Source organism: Homo sapiens, chromosome 7 (assembly GCF_000001405.40).
Source record: "Homo sapiens chromosome 7, GRCh38.p14 Primary Assembly".
Classification (NCBI taxonomy): Eukaryota; Metazoa; Chordata; class Mammalia; order Primates; family Hominidae; genus Homo; species Homo sapiens.
Window position 1 is genome coordinate 38,650,578 of NC_000007.14, and position 22,738 is coordinate 38,673,315.

General features: G+C 41.8%; 1 pseudogene; it reads left to right on the forward strand.

Annotated features, from left to right (window-relative positions):
• On the forward strand, nucleotides 4,567–6,285 carry KRT8P20 (keratin 8 pseudogene 20; annotated as a pseudogene).

The following is a 22,738-nucleotide window of genomic DNA, read 5'->3' on the forward strand; positions in this document are numbered from 1 at the left end:
AGACATCTATGTGGCCAAAAAAATATGAAAAAAAGCTCATCATCACTGGTCATTAAGAAATGCAAATCAAAACCACAGTGAGATACCATCCCATGCCAGTTAGAATGGTGATCATTAAAAAGTCAGGAAACAACAGATGCTGGGGGGGATGTGGAGAAATGGGAATGCTTTTACACTGTTGGTGGGAATGTAAATTAGTTCAACCATTGTGGAAGACAGTGTGATGATTCCTCAAGGATCTAGAACCAGAAATATCATTTGACCCAGCAATCTCACTACTGGGTATACCCCAAAGGATAATAAATCATTCTACTATAAAGACACATGCACACGTATGATTATTGCAGCACAGTTCACAATAGCAAAGACTTGGAATCAACCCAAATGCCCATCAATGATATAGACTGGATAAAGAAAATGTGGCACACATATACTATGGAATACTATGCAGCCATAAAAAAGGATAAGTTCATGTCCTTTGCAGGGACATGGATGAAGCTGGAAACCATTATTCTCAGCCAACTAACATAGGAACAGAAAACCAAGCACCACATATTCTCACTCATAAGTGGGAGTTGAACAATGAGAACGCACGGACACAGGGAGGGGAACATCACACACTCGGGCCTGTCATGGGGGTGGGGGGCTAGGGGAGAGATAACATTAGGAGAAATACCTAATGTAGATGATGGGTTGATGGGTGCAGTAAATCACCATGGCACGTGTATATGTATGTAACAAACCTGCACATTCTGCACATGTATCCCAGAACTTAAAGTATAATAATAAATTAATAAAAATTTAAAAAGAAATTAAAAAATGAAATAATGTATTTATGTAATTAGAACAGTCCACAAATAGAGAAAGGCACAATATAGTGAGAACTTTATATTCCTTTCCTCTCCCCTCAAAGTCTTTAGAAGTAACTACTACTAAGATCTGTTTTACTTTTCTTTCAGAAGGCATTTTATATGTATGCCAGCATATACCCAGTGCACATCACCTTCATCTTCATTTACACAAAGGCTCATACTATCCACATGGCTTTGCACCTGACATGTGCCAGTTATTATTCTTTAGAGACCTTTCCATAGAGATCCACATGCAGCTTTCTCTTTTTTTCCCTTCCCACCTTCCCAGCTGGCCTCCCTCCCTCTCTTCTATCCTTTCTCATTTTCCTTCCAGAAAGAAAACTTCTGGGTTTTTTACTCTTACTTTATAGAAAGTGAAGGGGAAAAGTTTTGTTTTTAATTGTATGCTTTTTTAAATCAGAAAATTCTACTAAAACAATACCCAAGTCTGTTTCTTTAAAGTCATTTACATTTTTTGTTTTTCTTTTTTCTTGGTTTTTTTTTTGTGTGTGTGTTTGTGTTTTTTTTGGTTTGTTTGTTTTTTGTTTTTGTTTTTGAGACGGAGTTTCACTCTTTTCCCCAGGCTGGAGTGAAGTGGCGTGATCTCAGCTCACTGCAACCTCCACCCACCCGGGGTTCAAGTGATTCTTGCCTGAGCCTCCCAAGTAGCTGGGATTATAGGCACCCACCACCACAGCCGGCTAATTTTTGTATTTTTAGTAGAGACGGGGTTTCGCTATTTTGACCAGGCTGGTCTCGAACTCCTGACCTCAGGTGATCCACCCTCCTGGGCCTCCCAAAGTGCTGGGATTACAGGCATGAGCCACCATGCCTGGCATTTTTTGTTTTTTCTGATTATATAAATAATACCTTCCGGTTACAGCAAAATTAAGCAATGTGTGAACATTTAATTAACAAAGACTTATACAGTACTTACTGTGTGCCAGGCCCTCATCTAGGTCCTTTAAATATTGACTCATTTAATGAAATACTCATAACAAACCTATGAGTTAGGTCTTATAAATTTGTTTTACTAGTGGGGAAACTGAGACATGAAGAGATTAAGTAAATTTCATAGTTAAAAGGCAGCTGAGTTAGACTTCAATTCCAGCCTATCTGACTCCAGAGCTCACTCTGCTCCATGGCCTGTCTCCAGACTAAAAAGATACTAGAGACACAGAAAACTCATGTCCTGCAGTAACCACTATTGACTTTATGGTGACAATTCTTTCATAATATTTTTTGTGTATATTTATGAACAAACACATATTTTTATAAAATTAAAACATACAGCTATACAACATACATACACACATATATGTAAAATCAAGGGGCTTTTTGTGGTCATAAATTTCACAAAAATGAGATTATCTTATATATACGTACTCCTCTGCATCTTGCATTTCTAGTTTAACAGTTTCATAAAATTCCTCCAAGTCAATTAGTGTAGCTCTAGTGATGGTCTAGTACCTGCATGATATTCCTTGGTCCAATATACCTCAATTTCTTTAACCATTTCCCTGCTAATGTGTATTTACCTTGTTTCCAGGATTTGGGGGTACCACAATTACGCTGAAATAAACATCTGAGTGCATACTTCTTTTTGTATTGGTAATTTTGTATCTAGGGATTAGATTTCCAGGTGTTAGTTTCCTTTTTAAAAAAAAAAAACAGATTTTGCAGATTGCCTTCAAAAAAATTGAACAATTCACATACTCATCAACAGTGAATGAGGATCCCATTTTCCTGACAGTCTTACCAGCAATAGGTGAAAGTCCTTTGTAATTTTTGCTGATATCGTTGGTGCACAGTGGCAATTCATTGTTAGTTAATGTATTTTCTCCCTGACTACTAGGAAGCTGAAAGACTTGTTGTTGTTGTTGTTCTGCCAGGACATTTGGATTTGCTGTTCTGTGCTTGCCTGCTTATATCTCTGCCCATTTTTCTATTAATCATCTTTTTTCAGTTATAATTAATATAGTTCTTTGTACTTAATATATCCTTCAGCTATTAGATCCATTACACACTTTCCCCAATCCATTATTTGTACTTTACTTTTGTATGTCTTATATTTCACCTTTTAAAATGTCTTAATATTTATAAAAATCAAATCTGACTAATTTTTATAATAGCTTATAGGTTTCCTGCTTCATCAATCTCCAACTTGTACTTATGGTCTCCTACATTTTCTTCTAAAGTTCCATCCTTTTATTCTTTACCTTTAAGATTTTGATCCACCTGAAATTTATTTGTGTGTAAAATGAGAGGCAGGAACCAAAATTATTCTTTCCCAATACATAGCTGATTTTGCCTATATTATTTATTAAATAAACCACTGTTCTGTGATAAATTAATATATATTTATTATCTATTAAATTCTCAAAGGCTGCAGAATCTATTTTTGGGAACTGTATTCTATACAGTTCCACTTATCTTTTTGCTTACTTCTATGATAATATTATGCTGTTTTTATTACAGAGACTTCACTTCATTTTAATGTTTTCTAAGGTCCTTTTTTTCACATTTTCTTGACTATTCTTGAACATTTATTCTTCCATGTGAACTTTAAGTTTATTTAATCCAATTTAAGCACACACGTCAGTGTCCTCATTTAGATTGCATTCAATTTTTACTTAATGGGAAAATTCATATTTTCATAATATTAAATTTTCTCATTCAGGAATGTAGTGTATCTTTCTGTTTATGCATGGTTTATTTTATGTCCTCATATAGAACTGACCTCCATACACCCTTATCTGGAGCCATGAAGGGTAGGCTTGCCAGAACTTTTTCACCTAAGTCAACCCTGCAATAGGAGGACATCTCAGAGCACCTTTTGCATCTCCACGTGTTGTCCCTAATGGTAACTTGATCTTATCCCACACTTTCTTGCCTCTTAGAAGACACTTTTATCTATTCTCATCTTTCATTGTTTCTTTGATCATGTCTGCCTTTCTTGCACCAGCTCTTAATCTTCAGAATTCACTCAAATCTCTTCTTTTCATAAGGTCACCACCTTCCACTCCTCCCCAGCTCTCTCCAGTGTGTGCTGCAAGACCTGTGTGCTGCAGTTGCTCACACATCCAACTCTCCCTGGGGAGTGAATCAGCAGCCCAAGCATTGTCCTAGTGAACTGCTTCCAACAGTCCCTGACCTAGAATCACAAGAGGCTTGGGGAGTGGGGTGGCTCCGACACTGCAGGCCTCCAGAAGGACCCCTCACCGACACGTTGTTCCTGCCACTGTCCTCCAGTGTTCTCATGTGGGGTTCTAATGTGGGTCTCTGGGCCACTGTTTCCTGGGCTGCCATAGATCCTTACAGCTGCCATTTACTGCTTTCAGGATCTTGAACATTTGTCTCCCAACTTTTCTGACACTAAGTGCATCTTCTGAGTATATTCCCATTGTCACTAACATTCAGAACTTTGGCTCTTGTCAAATTGCTTCAATTTTGGATATCTGTGTCACTGGAGAAGTGAATCAAGCTAAATGAAGAATGCCCTTATTTTTTCTTCTGTGTTCTCTCTCTGCAAAGAGGAGAATGATCTTCCCCAGTATTGTGCTTTCTGAGACACACCTAGTGCATGATCCAAATGGTCCTTGATTCCAAGTAAAATGGCAAAGATCCACATGTAGCTGGATCCCACCTGTGATCACAATCTTTCTATGCTCTCAGATTCCACCTTACCTCAATGTTTGAAAAGAAAAAATTTCAGACCAAGAAGCAGCTTCTCCACTCCTGGAATCTCTGCCTTGTTCAGCCTGTCTGCCTCCACCATGTCCATCAGGGTGACCCAGAAGTCCTACAAGGTGTCCACCTCTGGCCTCCGGGCCTTCAGCAGCTGCTCTCACATGAGTGGGCCTGGTGCCCACCTCAGCTCCTTAAGCTTCTCCCGAGTGGGCAGCACCAGCTTCCGGGCTGGCCTGGGCAGAGGCTATGGTGGGGCCAGCAGCATGGGAGGCATCACTGCCGTCATGGTCAACCAGAACCTGCTGAGCCCCCTGAACCTGGAGGTGGACCCCAACATCCAGGCCATGCGCACCCAGGAGAAGGAGCAGATCAAGACCCTCAACAAGAAGTTTCCCTCCTTCATTGACAAGATACGTTTCCTGGAGCAGCAGAACAAGATGCTGGAGACCAAGGGGAGCCTCCTGCAGCAGCAGAAGATGGCTTGGAGCAACGTGGACATGTTCGAGAGCTACATCAACAACTTTATGCAGCGGCTGGAGACTCTGAGCCAGGAGAAGCCGAAGCTGGAGGCAGAGCTTGGCAACATGCAGAGGCTGGCGGAGAACTTCAAGAAAAAGTATGAGGATGAAATCAATAAGCGTACAGAGATGGAGAATGAATTTCTCCTCAGATGTGGGTGAAGCTTACATGAACAAGGTAGAGCTGGAGTCTCGCCTGGAAGCGCTGACTGAAGAGATCAGCTTCCTCAGGCAGCTGTATGAAGAAGAGATCCAGGAGCTGCAGTCCTAGATCTCGGACACGTCTGTGGTGCTGTCCATGGACAACAGCTGCTCCCTGGACATGGACAGCATCATCGCTGAGGTCAAGGCTCAGTACAAGGTGATCGCCAACCGCAGCCTGACTGAGGCTGAGAGCACGGACCAGATGAAGTATGAGGAGCTGCAGATGCTGGCTGGGAAGCGCTGGGATGACCTGGGGCGTACAAAGGCTGAGATCTCCGAGATGAACCGGAACATCAGCTGGCTCCAGGCTGAGATTGAGGGCCTCAAAGGCCAGAGGGCTTCCCTAGAGGCCGCCGTCACAGACGCAGAGCAGCCCGGGGAGCTGGCCATGAAGGGTGCCAAAGCCAAGCTGTCTGAGCTGGAGACCGCCCTGCAGCTAGCCAAGCAGGACATGGCTCAGCAGCTGCGTGAGTACAGGAACTGGCCCTGGACGCCTACAGGAAGCTGCTGGAGGGCGAGGAGAGCTGGCTGGAGTCTGGGATGCAGAACATGAGTATCCATACGAAGACCACCTGTGGCTATGCAGGTGGTCTGAGCTCTCCTACGGGCGCCTCACAAGCCCCGGCCTCAGCTACGGCCTGGGCTCCAGCTTTGGCTCTGGCGCGGGCTCCAGCTCCTTCAGCCACACCAGCTCCACCAGGGCCGTGGCTGTGAAGATCAAGACCCGCGATGGGAAGCTGGCGTCCGAGTCCTCTGACATTCTGCCCAAGTGAACAGCTGCGACAGCCCCTCCCAGCCTGCCCCTCCTGTGGCTGCCCCAGAGCCGGGGAGGGAGGCCGCTGTGCAGGGGAGCAAAGGGAACAGGAGACCCACCTGAGGCTCACCCCTAGCTCTCAGCCCACCCACGGGGGAGTTTACTGCCTGGGGACACCCTTTGCCCATGCCTCCAGCTACAAAACAATTCAACTGCTTTTTTTTTTTTTTTTTTTTGTACAAAATAAAACCTCAGCTAGCTCTTTCAAAAAAAAAAAATCAGTCCCACAAGGTCCCATCAGTCTCATTCTGCAGGCCAATGAGGATTTTCTTCATATTTTCAATGTGTTGAGAAGAATCTGCAGAATGTTAGGACATATATAGACAGATGAAAATACTCACACAAGGAGTAAGAAAACCTTCAGAGGAGGCAAATTTGCAAAGCAAGAACTGTGCCCCTCCCCAGTTCTAAGTCAACAACCACCCCATTAAGAGTCTATCTTAATTCTGGGGCTGTCAGCAGGTTTCCTTTCGCCTGCTCTTATTTGTTCATTTTATGGAACACAGTAGTCTGCCTTTTTTTTCATGTCTAAACTCATTTCCTGTTGAGAAAGTTCATAACCATGGCACAACAGTAATCATCTTGCATAAGTTACTCAGCTCCTTTCTGCTCTTGTTTCCTCATCTCCAAAATAAGAATAAAAATAATACTTCTTTTATAAGGTTGTGTTGAGGATCAAAATAGCTAATATATGTTAAACCCTTGGAACAGTTCCCGGACTATAATCACTGCTATATAAATGTTTGCCATCATCCTTCTTGGATGGTTTCAGTGCCCCTCGGTTACCTTTGCCATGACTCTTATTTATTTATTTATTTATTTTTTGAGATGGAGTCTTGCTCTGTTGCCAGGCTGGAGTGCAGTGGCGGGATCTCGGCTCACTGCAACCTCCGCCTCCTGGGTTCAAGCAATTCCCCTGCCTCAGCCTCCCGAGTAGCTGGGACTACAGGCATGTGCCACCACATCCAGCTAATTTTTTGTATTTTAGTAGAGATGGGGTTTCACCATGTTGGCCAGGATGGTCTCAATCTCCTGACCTCATGATCTGCCCACCTTCTGCTCCCAAAGTACTGGAATTACAGGCGTGAGACAGTGCGCCCAGCCCCCAGGACTCTTATTTTCTAAATCCTATTAGAACATCTTCTTTTTCTTTTTTTTAAAGTCAGGATCTCACTCTGTCATCCAGGCTGGAGGGTGGTAGCACAATCATAGCTCACTGTCACCTGCAACTCCTGGGCTCTAGTGATCCTCCCACCTCAGCCCCACTGAGTAGCTGAGACTACAGGTGCATGCCACTACATGGGGCTAATGTATTAATTTTTTTTGTAGAGATGGAATCTTGCTATGTTGCCCAGGCTGGTCTTGAACTCCTGGCTTCAAGAGATCATCCCATATCAGCCTCCCAAAGTGTTGGGATTTCAGGTGTGAGCCACTGCACCAGCCCTATTAGAACAAATTTCTAAATTATATGGGAATGTACAAAAACAAAAGATAAATCTGCCTGTAGAACCTTAAAACAGTTTCATGGTCCTCATAAGGTTCTTCATATTCAGGAGAGCGGGCATTGCAACATGTAAAGCCTATCTCGAAGAAAGAGACTTTTGCCCAAAGTCTATATAGACTAAGCCTCTGTCTACATTATGTCTTCTTCTCAAATCACCTCCTTGACTTCATATTACCATAATAATCCACATCCCATTATAAACTTTTAGCTTTTAGCCAGATAGGCTGTTTTGCAAAAGAGGAAGGCAATGGGGGGCTTTTGATGTTACTTTTCAGGAGTAGTTTTCCTTACCTTCTTCCTGTTGGGCCCCTGGGATCTTATCTGCCTTTAAGTGTTATAATAATTCCAGGTGCATTAGAGTATCCAATATGCCACTGAAATCTACCTCTCCCCTGATATTAACCATACACCAAATAAAAGCAGCACATAATAAAATCATCCACATCCCAAAATAGAAAAAGCACCCAAATTGTTTAAATTTTACATAGGGAGTAAGTTGTATCACACTCTATGCTAACCATGTTTATAACCATTTATGCTTGCACATATGTAATTTAAACAGCTATTATTGAGCATCTGCTCCATGTATGTCAGGCACTAGACTGGGCACTGGCAACATACTGGAACAATAACAGGGGTGGTTCTGTTGGGGAGGCAGCTAAGACAGACCAAACAGTGGGAGTCCCAGAGGTTTACTCAATAATCATGCTAATTAATACAAGCAAACCTTCCAACTGAGTTCAGTGTTCCAGGTAAAAAGGAATGTAATACAAAAAGCTGACCTGGGCTTGTGGGTCATGGAAAATTTCTCTGCGGAAGAGACATATGACAAATAAAGAATTGTGAAGTTACCCAAGGTAAGAGAAGAAAGAACATATCATGAAGCTAGATCAGGAAGCACAAAGGCCCTATGGTGGGAAAGAAGATGGCCAGTAAAAGATGCGTGAGTCATTCATGAGACAGGAACCACTGGCAGAAGACAGGATTTGTGGGGGAAGAGCCTCAGTTCAGTCTGGGACATGAGGTGTCTGAAATACCTTTGAGACATATCAAGGGAAAATATGAAATAGGTGGTTGGATATATACATCTGGAACTCAAAGGAAATGTCTGAGCCAAAGACATAACTAGATATAAATAGCTTACAGATAGCAGTTAAAATTAATGATCTTGGATACAGTTGCCTGGAAAGAAAGCATATAATGAAAAAAGACCACCTTGACAGACTTCACTTTTAATGGCTGAGTAGCAGATAAGCCCACCAACTAGGTTAAGAAGGAGCATCAGAGAGGTAGAAAGGACACCAGGAGAATGTGGTAGCACCCAAGGCAAGGGGAGGAAGAGCTGCAAGAAGGTGGAAGTTGTTAATAGTATTTAAGAACATTGCTGAATCATGTAGTAAAATAAGGTCTGAACATCATTGGATGTATTTGAGGACAGGGAGATCACTGTTGACTTTATCAGAGCTGGTTCAGGGCAGTGATTGTGGGAATGGGAGAGTGATGGGCCATGACATTCAGCCTTAAATAGGTTGAGGAAAGATTGGGAGTTAAGAAAGTGGAGACAAAAATTTTAGGCATCTCTTTCAAGAAATCTGGTTGTGAAGGAGAAAAGAGATATGCAGTGGTGGGATAAAAAGTGATTTGAGTAGCTGTTTGCCTGGATTGGCAACCTGAGCCGCCCCACCCTTCCCGTGCAGCGATCTGGGTGCAGAGGGGCCCTCTCCACTCCATGCCAGACAGATCTCCAGGCATTCAGACACCTGCTCACTGGAACAGCAGTCTGAGTCACCCCAATCTTCCTGTGCGGAGATCCTGGTGCAGGAGGCCCTCCCCACTCTACACCCAGGCAGAATCTCCATGCGTCTGAAGCACCTACCCTCCTGGGTTAGAAGTTTAGGCTGACCCCAATCTCCAGGCAGAGAACTCAGGGATGAGGAGGTCTTGCAGCTCCATGCCGAGGCACACCTCTGGATGCGAGGTGGCCATCCACTGGATTCTCCCTCAGTGCTGGTACTTGTGCCTGCCATCAGGGGACCTACAGGTGGACCTGCCTGGTCTGGCCCTGCCCATCTTGCTTCCTCCCCTCCACTGGGGCTGAAGAGGGAGCTCAGACCACCGTGCACTCCATGAATCAACCCATTTCCTGAGGCAAGCGAGAGCTTCTTCCAGTAAAAAAAAAAAAAATGCTATGTGGATGGGATCACATATATTCCCATCCACATAGCATTTTTTTTGAGACAGGTTTTCACTCTGTCACCCTGAGTGTAGTGGTGTGATCATGGCTTACTGCAGCCTTGACCTCCCGGGCTCAAGCAATCATCCCACCTCACTGTCCCAAGTAGCTGGGACCCACAGGCACATGCCACCATGACCAGCAATTTTTTTCATTTTTTGTAGAGACAGGGTCTCGCTATGTTGCCCAGGCTGTTCTTGAACTCCTGGACTGAAGGGATCCTACTTCCTCTGGCTCCCAAAATGCTGAGATTACAGATACGAGCCACCATGCCGGGCCACACAGCCAGCTCTTACCCATAAGCGCCATCTATTGGCTTGTAGGTCAAATTGCACAGCCCAATATAAAACCTGGTGACAGAAGAGCATAGGGCTACGCAAGCAAAGCCAAAAGACCCTACCCAGCATTCTCTACAGTCACACACCCTGGGGTGGGAAGGAAGGAAAGGGAAAGAAGAAAAAAACAATAATATTATTGGAAAAAAGGAAAGAAAAAGAAAAAATTCTACCTGCATGAAAATAGTTACTAAAATTAGAAGGGCAAGCATCTCTAGATGAAAAGGAACTAGTGCAAGAAACCTGGCAAAATCTGAATGTAGTGACAGTACCAAAGGATCACACTAGCTCCCCAGCAATAGTCCCTAACTAAAATGGAAACTCAGAAATGATAGCTAGATAGATAAATAATTCAAGGCATGGATTGCAAGTAAGCAGCAATGAGATCCAAGACAAGGTTGAAAGTCAACAAAAAGACATTTCTAAAGCAATCCAGGAAAGGAAGGAAGAGGTAAACATCTTCAAAAGAAATCAACCAGAACTTCTGGAATTGAAAAACTCACCTAAGGAATTTCAAACTACAATTGAAATCTTTATGAACAGACTGCACCAAGCAGAAGAAAGAATTTCAAAGCTTGAAGACTGATTTTTTGAACTACCCAGTTAGATAAAAATAAAGAGAAGAGAATTTTTTAAAATGAACACAGTTTTCAAGAAATATTGGATTATGTGAAGTGACCAAAATTATGAATTACTGGACATTAACAATAGATACAGAAGAGAAGAAAACAACCATGAAAACATTTGAGGCAATAATTCAAGAAAAGTTCCTAATCTTGCTAGAGAGATAGACATCCAGATACAAGAAATCTAGAGAACACATGTGAGATAGTGTACAAACTAAACATCATCAATGCATATAGTCACCAGACTGCCCAAAGTCAATGCTAAAGAAAAAAATCTTAAAGGCAGCAAAAGAAAAAGGTCAGATCACATACAAAAAGAACCCCATCAGGCTAACAGTAGACTTCTCAGAAGAAACCTTACAAGCCAGGAGAGATTGGAGGCCTATTTTCAGTATTCTTAAAGAAAAGAAATTCCAACCAAGAATTTCATATCCTGCCAAACTAAGCTCTATAAGCAAAGGAGAAATAAAATATTTTCCAGACAAGCAAGTACTAACGGAATTCATTACCAGTAGACCTTCCTTACAAGAGATCCTTCAGGAATTTCTCAACATGAGAACAAAATAATGATACCTACTACCACAAAAACACACATAGCCCACAGACCCTATAAAGCACCACACTATAGAAACTACAAGGCCACCAGTTAACAACTTCATAACAAGATCAAAACCTCACATATCAATATTAATCTTGAATGTAAATGGTCTCAATGCCCCACTTAAAAGGCACAGAGTGGCAAACTGGATTTAAAAAAATAAGACCCATTCATCTTCTGTTTTCAAGAGGCCTATCTCACATGAAATGACACTCATAGGCTCAAAGTAAAGAGTTGGAGAAAAAAATCTGTCATGCAAATGGAACACAGAAAAGAGCAGGGGTCGCTATTCTTATATCAAATAAAACAGATTTTAAACCAACAACAGTAAAAAATGACAAAGAAGGACATTGCATAATGATAAAAGATTCAATTTACAGAGGACTTAACTATCCTTAATATATATGCACCCAATATTGGAGCACGCAGATTCACGAAACAAGTACTTCTAGACCTATAAAAAGACTTGGACAGTCACACAACAATAGTGGAGGACTATCAACACCCCACTGACAGCATTGACAGACTATCAAGGCAGAAAACCAACAAAGAAACTCTGGACTTAAATTCAACACTTGACTGATTGGATCTAATAGACATCCACAGAAAACTCCACCCAACAACCTTGGAATATATATTCTTTTTATTTGCACATGGAACATACTCCAAAATCAACCACATGGTAGGTCATAAAGCAAGTCCTAATAAATTCAAATAAATCAAAATAATTCCAAACGTCCTCTCTGATCACAGTGGAATAAAACCAGAAATTAATACCAAGAAGTCTTTCAAAACCACGCAATTACATGGAAATTAAACAATTTGCTCCTAAATGACTTTGGGATAAACAAATAAAGCAGAAATAAAAAATCCTTTGAAATAAAAGAAAACAGAGACACAACATACCAAAATCTCTGGGACACAACAAAATCAGCATTAAGACAAAAGTTTATAGTGCTAAAGACCTACCTCAAAAAGTTAGAAAGATCTCAAATTAACACTCTAACATTACACCCAAAGGAACTAGAAAAACAAGGACAAACTAACTCTTACACAAGCAGAAGAAAAGACATAACTAAAACCAGAACAGAACTGAGCAACGTTGAGACCCCGAAATCCATGCACATAATCACATAACCAAATGTTTGTTCATTGAAAGGATAGATAAGATCAATTGCTGCTAGCTAGATTAGTGTAGAAATAGACAGAAGATCCAAATAAGCACAATCAGAAAGACAAAGGTGGCATACAACCAATCCCACAGAAATATAAAAGATCCTCAGAGACTATTATGAACCTAGAGAAAATGGATAAATTCCTGGAAACACACAGTCTGCCAATATTGAATCAGGAAGAAATTGAAACCCTGAATAAACCAATATTGAGTTCCAAAATTGAATCAGTAATTAAAAAAAAAAAAAACCTACCTACCCAAAAAGCCCTGGACCAGGTGGATTCACAGCCGAATTCTATCAAACATTCAAAGAGGAGTTGATACCAATCCTACTGAAAGTATTTCAAAAAATCAAGGCGGAGAGACTTCTCCCTAACTCCTTCTATGAAGCCAGCATCACTCCGATACTAAAACCTGGCAAAGACACAAGAAAAGAAAACTACAGGTCAATATCCCTGCTGAACATAGATGGAAAAAATCCTCAAAAAATTACTACCAAAGCAAATCTAGCAACACATCAAAAAATTAATTCTCTATGATCAAGTAGGCTTCATTCCTGAGATGCAAAGTTGGTGCAACATATACAAATCAATAAATGTGATTCATCACATAAACAGAACTAAAAACAAAAACCATATGATCATCACAATGTGGAAAATGTTTTTTAATAAAATTCAACATCTCTCCATGATTAAAACCCTCAAGAAACTATGCTTAGAAGCAATATATGTCAAACTAATAAGAGCCATCTATGCAAACCCACAGCCAACATCATACTGAATGAGCAAAAACTCAGACCATTTCCCCTGAGAACCAGAAAAGGATGCCCACTCTCACCACTCTTATTCAACATAGTACTAGAAGTCCTTGCCAGAGCAATGAGGCAAGAGAAAAAAATAAAAGGCATCCAAATAGGAAAAAAGTCAAACTACCTCTCTTTTCTGATGATATGGTTATATACCTGGAAAACCCTAAAGACTCTACCAAAAGTCTCCTGGAACTGATAAATGACTTAGTAAAGTTTCAGGATACAAAATCAGTGTACAAAAATCAATAGCATTTCTACATATCAATAACCTTTAAGCAGAGAGCCAAATCGGGAATGCAATCCCATTCACAATAGCTGCCGAGAGAAGGAAGGGAAGGGAAGAGAAGGGCAGGGCAGGGCAGGGCAGGGCAGGGCCTAGGAATACATCTAACCAAGGAGATGAACTACAAGTTCTACAAGGAGATCTACAAAACACTGCTGGAAGAATCATAGATGACACAAACAAATGGAAAAACTTTCCCTGCTCATGGTTTGGGAGAATCAATATGCTTAAAATGGCCATGCTGCCCAAAGCAATCTACAGATTCAATATTACTGCTATCAAGCTACCAATGTCATTTTTCATGGAGCTGGAAAAAACTATTCTAAAATTCATATGGAACCAAAAAAGAGCCAAAATAGACAAAGCAACCCTAAGCAAAAAGAACAAAGCAGTAGACATCACATTACTTGACTTCAAACTACACTGTAAGTTAACAGTCACCAAAACAGCATGGTACTTGTACGAAGACAGAAAGATAGGCCAATGGAACAGAATAGAGAACCCAGAAATAAAGCCACATACCTACAGCCATCTGATCCTTGACAAAGTCGACAAAAATAAGTAATGGGGAAAGCACTCCCTATTCAATAAATAATGCTGGGATAGCTGGCTAGCCTTATACAAAAGAAAGAAACTGCCCCCCTCTCTTTCACCAAATACAAAAACTAATTCAAGATTATTTAAAGACTTAAATGTAAGACTTCAAACTATAAGAATCCTAGAACAAAACCTAGGAAACACCTTTCTGGACATTGGCCTTGGAAAAGAATTTATAACTAGGTCCTCAAAAGTAACTACAACAAAACCAAAAGTTAACAAGTAGGACATAATTAAACTAAAGAGCTTCTAGACAGCAAAACAATCAATACAGTAAACAGACAACATATAGAATGGGGGAAAATATTCACAAGTTCTGCGTGTGACAAAGGTCTAATATCCAGAATCTATAAAGAACTTACGCAATCGAACAAGCAAAACCAAATAACCCTATTTAAAATGGACAAAAGACATGAACAGATATTCTCAAAAGAAAAAAAAAGAAAAAAAGCAGCCGGCTGGGCAAGGTGGCTCACGCCTGTAATCCCAGGACTTTGGGAGGCCGAGGTGGGTGGATCACCTGAGGTCGGGAGTTTGAGACAAGCCTGACCAACATGGGGAAACCCTGTCTCTACTAAAAATACAAAATTAGCTGGATGTAGTGGCGTATGCCTGTAATCCCAGCTACTTGGTAGGCTGAGGCAGCAGAATCGCTTGAACCCGGAAGGCGGAGGTTGCAGCGAGCGGAGATCACGCCATTGCACTCCAGCCTGGGCAACAAGAGCGAAACTCCATCCAAAAAAAAAAAAAAGAAAGAAAGAAAGAAAACAGAAAAAAAGGAAAGAAAAGCAGCCAACAAACATGAAAAAATTCTCTTCACTACTCTTCAGGGAGCTGCAAATCAATACCACAACACACCAGTCAGAATGGCTATTACTAAAAAGTTAAAAAAAACAATAGACGCTGGCAAGACTGTGGAGAAAACAGAATACTTACACACTGTTGGTGGGAATGTACAATTAGTTCAGCCACAGTGTAAAGCATTGTGGGGATTTCTCAAAGAAAAAAGAACTACCATTCAACCCAGCAATCCCATTGCTGTGTATATAGCTGAGAGAAAAGAAATCATTCAACCAAAAAGACACATTCACTTCTATGTTCATCACAGCACTCTTCGCAATAGCAAAGTCATGGAGTCAACCTAGGTGCCCATCAACAGTGGACTGGTTAAAGCAAATATGGTGCATATACGCCATGGAATACTATGCAGCCATAAAAAGGAATGAAATCATTTCCTTTGCAGAAATATGTATGCAGCTGGAAGCCATTATCCTAAGTGAATTAACATAGGAACAGAAAACCCAATGTTGCATGTTCTCACTTATAAGTGGGAGCTAAACAATGGGTACTCATGGACACAAAGCACGGAATAATAGACACTGGGGACTACTATAGAGGACGGGGAGGGAGTGGGGCAAGGGCTGAAAAAAAACTACCTATTGGACACTGTTCAGTACCTGGGTGATGGGATCAATTGTACCCCAAACCTCAGCATTATGCAGTATGTCCAGCTTGCACATGTAATGCCTTAATTTAAAATGTGAGTTGAAATTATTTTTAAAAACTAATTTGAGATTGAGAGAGGGCTTTGTTTTGCTTTACCTTTTTAATTATGAAAATAATTATATATGAAATAGCATATACAATATGCATATATATGTATGTGTATAGATAGGTGTGTGTGTGTGTGTGTGCAGTTTAAAGAATAAAAATAAATATCCATGGCTTCACATCCACCTTCAGGAAAAGAACATTACCAGAACTTTAGAATTTCTTGTGGTCCCTCGCCAATCGTATCACGCTGAAGGGAAATTATTTTTAAGATAAAAGAGATTCGAGCACATTTATATGGTAATGGGAAGCATCTAGTTGAGAAGAACTGGCTGAATATGCAGTAGATTAAAGAAAAGGATATTTGATAGTGAGGCATTATTGCAATAGCAAGAGTGAATAGGCTCTAAGGCACAGTAGGAGGTGTGGCCATGTATTAGAAGAGGTGCAGGTCTGATGAGGGGAAATTAGATAGGTTTGGTGTTAGAAAGTTCAGGAAGTTCCTTTTTGATGCTTCACAACTCTCAGTAAAATAGGAAATGGGCTCATCTGCTGAAAACAAAAAATCTTCAAGGAAAGATGGGGCGTGATTTGAAGTAGTCATTGTTGAGAGTTGGAGGATGAGTTGCTCAGAGAAGTTTAATAGTTCTGCTGACCAGTGTTGAGGGCCTATTTGAGGCTGATCATGTATTTTTTTTTTATTATACTTTAAGTTCTAGGGTACATGTGCAAAACGTGCAGGTTTGTTACATAGGTATACATGTGCCATGTTGGTTGTTGGTTTGCTGCACCCATCAACTAGTCATTTACATTAGGTATTTCTCCTAATGCTATCCCTCCCCCAGCCCCCCACCCCCCAACAGGCCAGGGTGTGTGATGTTCCCTGCCCTATTTTGGTTACTGTTTTGGTTACTGTATTCTTGTAGTCAGGTAGCGTGATGCCTCCAGCTTTGTTCTTTTGGCTTAGGATTGTCTTGGCTATACTGGCTCTTTTTTGGTTCCATATGAACTTTAAAGTAGTTTTTTCCAATTCTGTGAAGAAAGTCATTGGTAGCTTGATGGGGATGGCATTGAATCTATAAATTACCTTGGGCAGTATGGCCATTTTCACGATATTGATTCTTCCTATCCATGAGCATGGAATGTTCTTCCATTTGTTTGTGTCCTCTTTTATTTCATTGAGCACTGGTTTGTAGTTCTTCTTAAAGAGGTCCTTCACATCCCTTGTAAGTTGGATTCCTAGGTATTTTTTTCTCTTTGTAGCAATTGTGAATGGGAGTTCACTCATGATTTGGCTCTCTGTTTGTCTGTTCTTGGTGTATAGGAATGCTTGTGATTTTTGCTCACTGATTTTGTATCCTGAGACTTTGCTGAAGTTGCTTATCAGCTTAAGGAGATTTTGGGTTGAGACAATGGGGCTTTCTAAATATACAATCATGTCATCTGCCAACAGGGACAATTTGACTTCCTCTTTTCCTGATTGAATACCCTTTATTTCTTTCTCTTTCCTGATTGCCCTGGCCAGAACTTCCAACACTATGTTGAATAGGAGTGGTGAGAGAGGGCATTCTTGTCTTGTGCCGGTTTTCAAAGGGAATGCTTCCAGTTTTTGCCCATTCAGTATGATATTGGCTGTGGGTTTGTCATAAATAGCTCTTATTATTTTGATATACGTCCCTTCAATACCAAATTTATTGAGAGTTTTTAGCATGAAGGGCTGTTGAATTTTGTTGAAGGCCTTTTCTGCATCTATTGAGATAATCATGTGGTAACTGTTGTTGGTTTTGTTTATGTGATGGATTACGTTTATTGATTTGCGTATGTTAAACCAACCTTGCATCCCAGGGGTGAAGCTGACTTGATCGTGGTGGATAAGCTTTTTGATGTGCTGCTGGATTCAGTTTGCCGGTATTTTATTGAGGATTTTTGCATCAATGTTCATCAGGGATATTGGTCTAAAATTCTCTTTTTTTGTTGTGTCTCTGCCAGGCTTTGGTATCAGGATGATGCTGGCCTAATAAATGAGTTAGGGAGGATTCCTTCTTTTTCTTTTGATTGGAATAGTTTCAGAAGGAATGGTACCAGCTCCTCTTTGTACCTCTGGTAGAATTCGGCTGTGAATCCGTCTGGTCCTGGACTTTTTTTGGTTGTTAGGCTATTAATTATTGCCTCCATTTCAGAGCCTGTTATTGGTCTATTCAGAGATTCAACTTCTTCCTGGTTTAGTTTTTGTCCAGGAATTTATCCATCTTCTTCTAGATTTTCTAGTTTATTTGCATAGAGGTGTTTATAGTATTCTCTGATGGTAGTGTGTATTTCTGTGGGATCGATGGTGATATCCCCTTTATCATTTTTTATTGCACCTATTTGATTCTTCTCTCTTTTATTCTTTATTAGTCTTGCTAGCGGTCTATCAATTTTGTTGATCTTTTCAAAAAACCAGCCCCTGGATTCATTGATTTTTTGAAGGGTGTTTTGTGTCTCTATCTCCTTTAGTTCTGTATTTTAAGTGACATCAATCTGCTCTGTTGTGTGTCTTTCTCTTTCTTTCTCCAGGAATATTTGGTGATATGGTTTGGCTGTGTACCCACCTAAATATCATCTTGAATTATAGTTCCTATAATCCCCATGTGTCATGGGAGGGACCCGGTGGGAGGTTATTGAATTATAGGGGCAGGTACCCTCTTGCTGCTGTTCTTGTAATAGTGAGTGAGTTCTCACGAGATTTTCTCCCCTTTTTGCTCGGCACTTCTTCTTCCTGCCATCAAGTAAAGAAGGATGTGTTTGTTTCCCCTTCAGCCATGATCATAATTTTCCTGAGGCCTCCACAGCCATGTGGAACTGTGAGTCAATAAAACCTCTTTCCTTTATAAATTACCCAGTCTTTGGCAGTCCTTTATAGCAGGGTGAGAACAGACTGATACATTTGGCCATTTAAATGTAAGTGTAGAAAAAAAGAAACTTGGAGAGTTGCAGTTCTGCTGGACACATGAAGAAAATACTGAGGATCAAAGTAGTAGAGAATATTAGCAAGAGCTTAAAAAGAAATCCACATTATGATAGAAGGGAGAGGAACAAAAGAGAGTCACAAGACCAGAATTTCCAGTGAGGATGGAGGGTGGTCAGCCAGGAGTAGGAGGCTTGAATGAATGATTTGGAGGTAACAGAAGTTTGGATGATAACACAGCCCAAGCTGCAGTGGGAAGGATCACTCATCCTCCACTCCTGGCACTGCCTTTATTTGGAGTGGTTCTCTTTGTCCTTCATTCACCTCTACTCTGTGAGATGAAGAGCTTCTCTGATTGGTAAGCTGAGAGAAGAAGTTATTCATGAGTACCCAGTTATGTTCTCCCTTGCACTGCCCCAAGGAGCGCATTCTGATCTGCTTTGCTGACTTTCTCCTGGAGAAGCCTGTACCCATTCAGCCAGGCAAATGCATTTAATTCTAGGGCCCACTATCGGGAATCTTATTGTTGGCTGCATGGCTAATTCAGCATCTGTAATAATGATGAGAAATTCATTTCCATCTATCTTGCTCTTTCTTTATCTTATAATTCGTTCAGAACTTAATTAGAAAAGAGGAGTGTAATTATTTATGGCCCATCTTCAATCCAACACCATAATTTTTAGAGATGGAAGCTTGGGAACTGTGGAGGGGAAGGCCATTAGAAACGGAGTGATCAAAGAACAGAGAGACCGAAGTGTTAGATGAGTTCTTCCAATAGATGTTGGAGTCACTCAGGATGTGGGACTTGGGACAGAGAGGAGGGTTAGCAACCAGGTTTCACAATATTTAATCCACGGGGAGGACTGAGCATGAGATCAGGTCAAGGGTATGGTGTGAGCCAACAAAGAGCTGAATTTTGTTTTGTTTTATTTTTTTAAACTGCTCATGTCTAATGTTTGGAAATGGCAATGGGAACAAACAGGAAACCAGCTCCATGACCTATAAATGGGTCAACAGCAAAGTCATGTGGAGCATGACAGAGATGATGGCATAGTGAGATTAACAGCCACGGGAACTCAGGCTTTGGAACTGAAGGAACAACAGCAGGGCTTCCAGGCAGGGATGATTTAGTCTAAACAGTCTGAGTAGTCAGGAGTTCGCTTCCTCAGCCTGGAAACAGAAGATGAAAGGACTGATTCCCAGCAATTGCAGTCCCTACTCACATGGACCAGGATGGGGACCAACCCAAAAGCTGATAGTTTTTGTGTTCATGCACAGCTGACCCTAGAGGTTTCAGGCCTCATTCGTGTGACTTAGGGAGTTGGTCCCACAGCCTAGTGGATTGAGGTGAGCCCTGTGGCTGAAAGCTCACGACGCAGGCTATAGGCACCCCCTCCACCGCTACAGCCATCCTCACCTGTGTACCCATGCACCTAGCTAAAACAGAGTGCTGAACACCTCCAGATGCACTCTCCTTTACTAGGAAATTAAAAGAAACTTGTGGACAAGAAGACTTACCCATAAATCTTCTTAGTACCCATTACTTTTTGGTGCGATTTCGAGAAGGCTTTGCAGCCCACCACAACAGGGCTTCTATCATAAGGACTTCTAACTGAAGTTACAAAGGGAGCTGAGGAAGGCAGGCTGGTTGCAAGGTTAGTATCTTCTACCCTTTAAACAGGGAGTGAGAGTAGTATCAGGTGTGTGACAAAACAGATGTATGCAAATAAATAAAATGAATTTTTAAAAGCAAATCTCGTTTCCCTTTATGCATACCCATTCCTTCTCAGCCATGGATAACTGGATATCGATCTTGTCTTTTTCTGCTATTCTATTCTCTCCTGTTTTAAAACTTCATCTCATTGAGGTAAATATTCCATTGAAGTGAACTATTACCTCCGTGGAAGCTCCTAGCTTCCTCTCTGAAACTCCTTCCCATCCTAAGGTCTTCGCTCACCTCTTATTGACCCCACTTCCATTTCCACAGGCACTGGTGTTCCAATCTTTGGGCAGCATCAGGGAGAAGTGCCTGCTTCCATGCACTGACACACTTGGGTGGAAATGTGAGGGAGTCACACACATCTCCATTTCCATCCACATCGACTTGGCCTTGGCACTCAACTGCAGCAGTTTCCCTCAGCTCCTTCACCCTAAATGTGCCCAGCGTTGTTTTTTTTTGTGTGTGGCAGTTAGACTACTTTCAGGTACCTAGGTGGGCCCTCCTCCAGCCTCATCATTGGGTGACCCTCTGGAAACATAACCACTTCCTCCTGCATTCCAGCGCCTGGTGCGCCCTACAGCTTGAGATCACTTTGTCCGAGCAGCACGGGCTGCTGCAGATTCCATCTCTCACAAAACAAACCCCATCAAGAAGCAAATCCTCGATTGTCTTCAGACAGATTCCCCAAAAGAACACTCGGAGATGAAGAATTGGATGCACATGATTTATTAAGAAAATGCTTTCAGAAATAAAAAGGAAATAAACCAGTAGGGGAGTGAGGGTGGGGAATGGGAGGCAAAGGGGAAGAAGGCAAGCCAGGGTGAGCTTTCGGGCAGATTCGTGGGGAGGATGGCTGCAGCCTGACCCCTCAGGTGAACTTTGGAGTATAAATGAGCCTCAGAGATGCCTGGACCTGAGGCAGGGAGCAGGCAGTCTTCTTCCCAACTCCACACCCACACCCACTAGTCATTGGTAAAGGGCCATCAGGTGGGGCACCAGCTCCCAGCCACCTGGAACTCTGAGCTCCTGCAGAGAAGGCAACTCTGAGAGCATGGGGAAGTCCCCTGCAAGACGTGCAGGTGCAGACCTTTGAAAGCAGAAGAAGCCTTCCAACAATCCCAGGGGACCGACAGGGGACAGGGCAAGGGGGCAGGGCATGATGCTCTTCCCTGCCTCCAAAATCCTGTTCCCCAAACTTTTCCTCATCTTCCAACTCTTCCAGCATAGCCCCATATCTTTACCTTGACGGGCCAGCCAGCAGCTCTTCTGGTGCGTTTACCCTCCCCAGGTCCTTTCATCTCAAAACCAACCTGCTCACCATTGCCAGCTTTGTCATGTTTGTCACGTCAGTCCTTGGTTTTGTGTGTCTCGTGTGTGTCCACGTGTGGCCATGTGCACACACATGTATATGTATGAAAGCATTAGTCACAGGGGAAGAGAAAGCAGAACTCACCATTTTTTGTTTCAAATTATCAGCAATTCACATCTTCCCACAAAGCAGGAGCATTGCCTTTTTTGAAGCCCATCTATCACTCCCACTTCTTCATTGGGTGCCAGCTCATCTTAATCCACGTTGCTGGGCAGGGCCTCAGATAGAACTCACACACTCCCTTTAGGCTGCTCAAGCTTTTCCTCTGCTGTCTGTGCATCCTATCACGCCTACCACAAACTGTCCCGAACAGTTCTCAGTTTATTCCAGCCACACCCTGGATCTCCCTAGTGATGTGCTCATTTCTTTGAAAGTTGCCTTTAAGACACACCCATCACTCCTGCTCACCCCTCGAATCCTGTCATTGGTTGAGGTTGATTCAGTTGCAGTCGTGCACTGCAAAACAACATTTCAGTCAACAACAGACTGCATCTAGGACAGTGGTCCCATAAGATTATAATGGAGCTGAAAACTTCCTATTACCTAGTGATGTATTGATCCTCACCCTGGGTAGGCCTAGGCTAATGTGTGTGGACCTTCATACTTAATTTTAAAAGTTTAAAAGGTAAAAATATTTTAATAGAAAAAAGCTTAAAGAATAGTTATAAAGAAAATATTTTTGTAGAGCTTTACAATGTGTTTGTGTTTTAAGCTACATGTTATTACAAGAGTCAAGAATCAAAAAATTAAAGTTGGCCTGGTGCGGTGGCTCACCCTGTAATCCCAGCACTTTGGGAGGCTGAGGCGGGTGGATCACGAGGTCAAGAGATTGAGACCAACCTGGCCAACATGGTGAAACCCCCTCTCTACTAAAAATATCAAAATTAGCTGGGCATGGTGGCAGGCGCCTGTATCC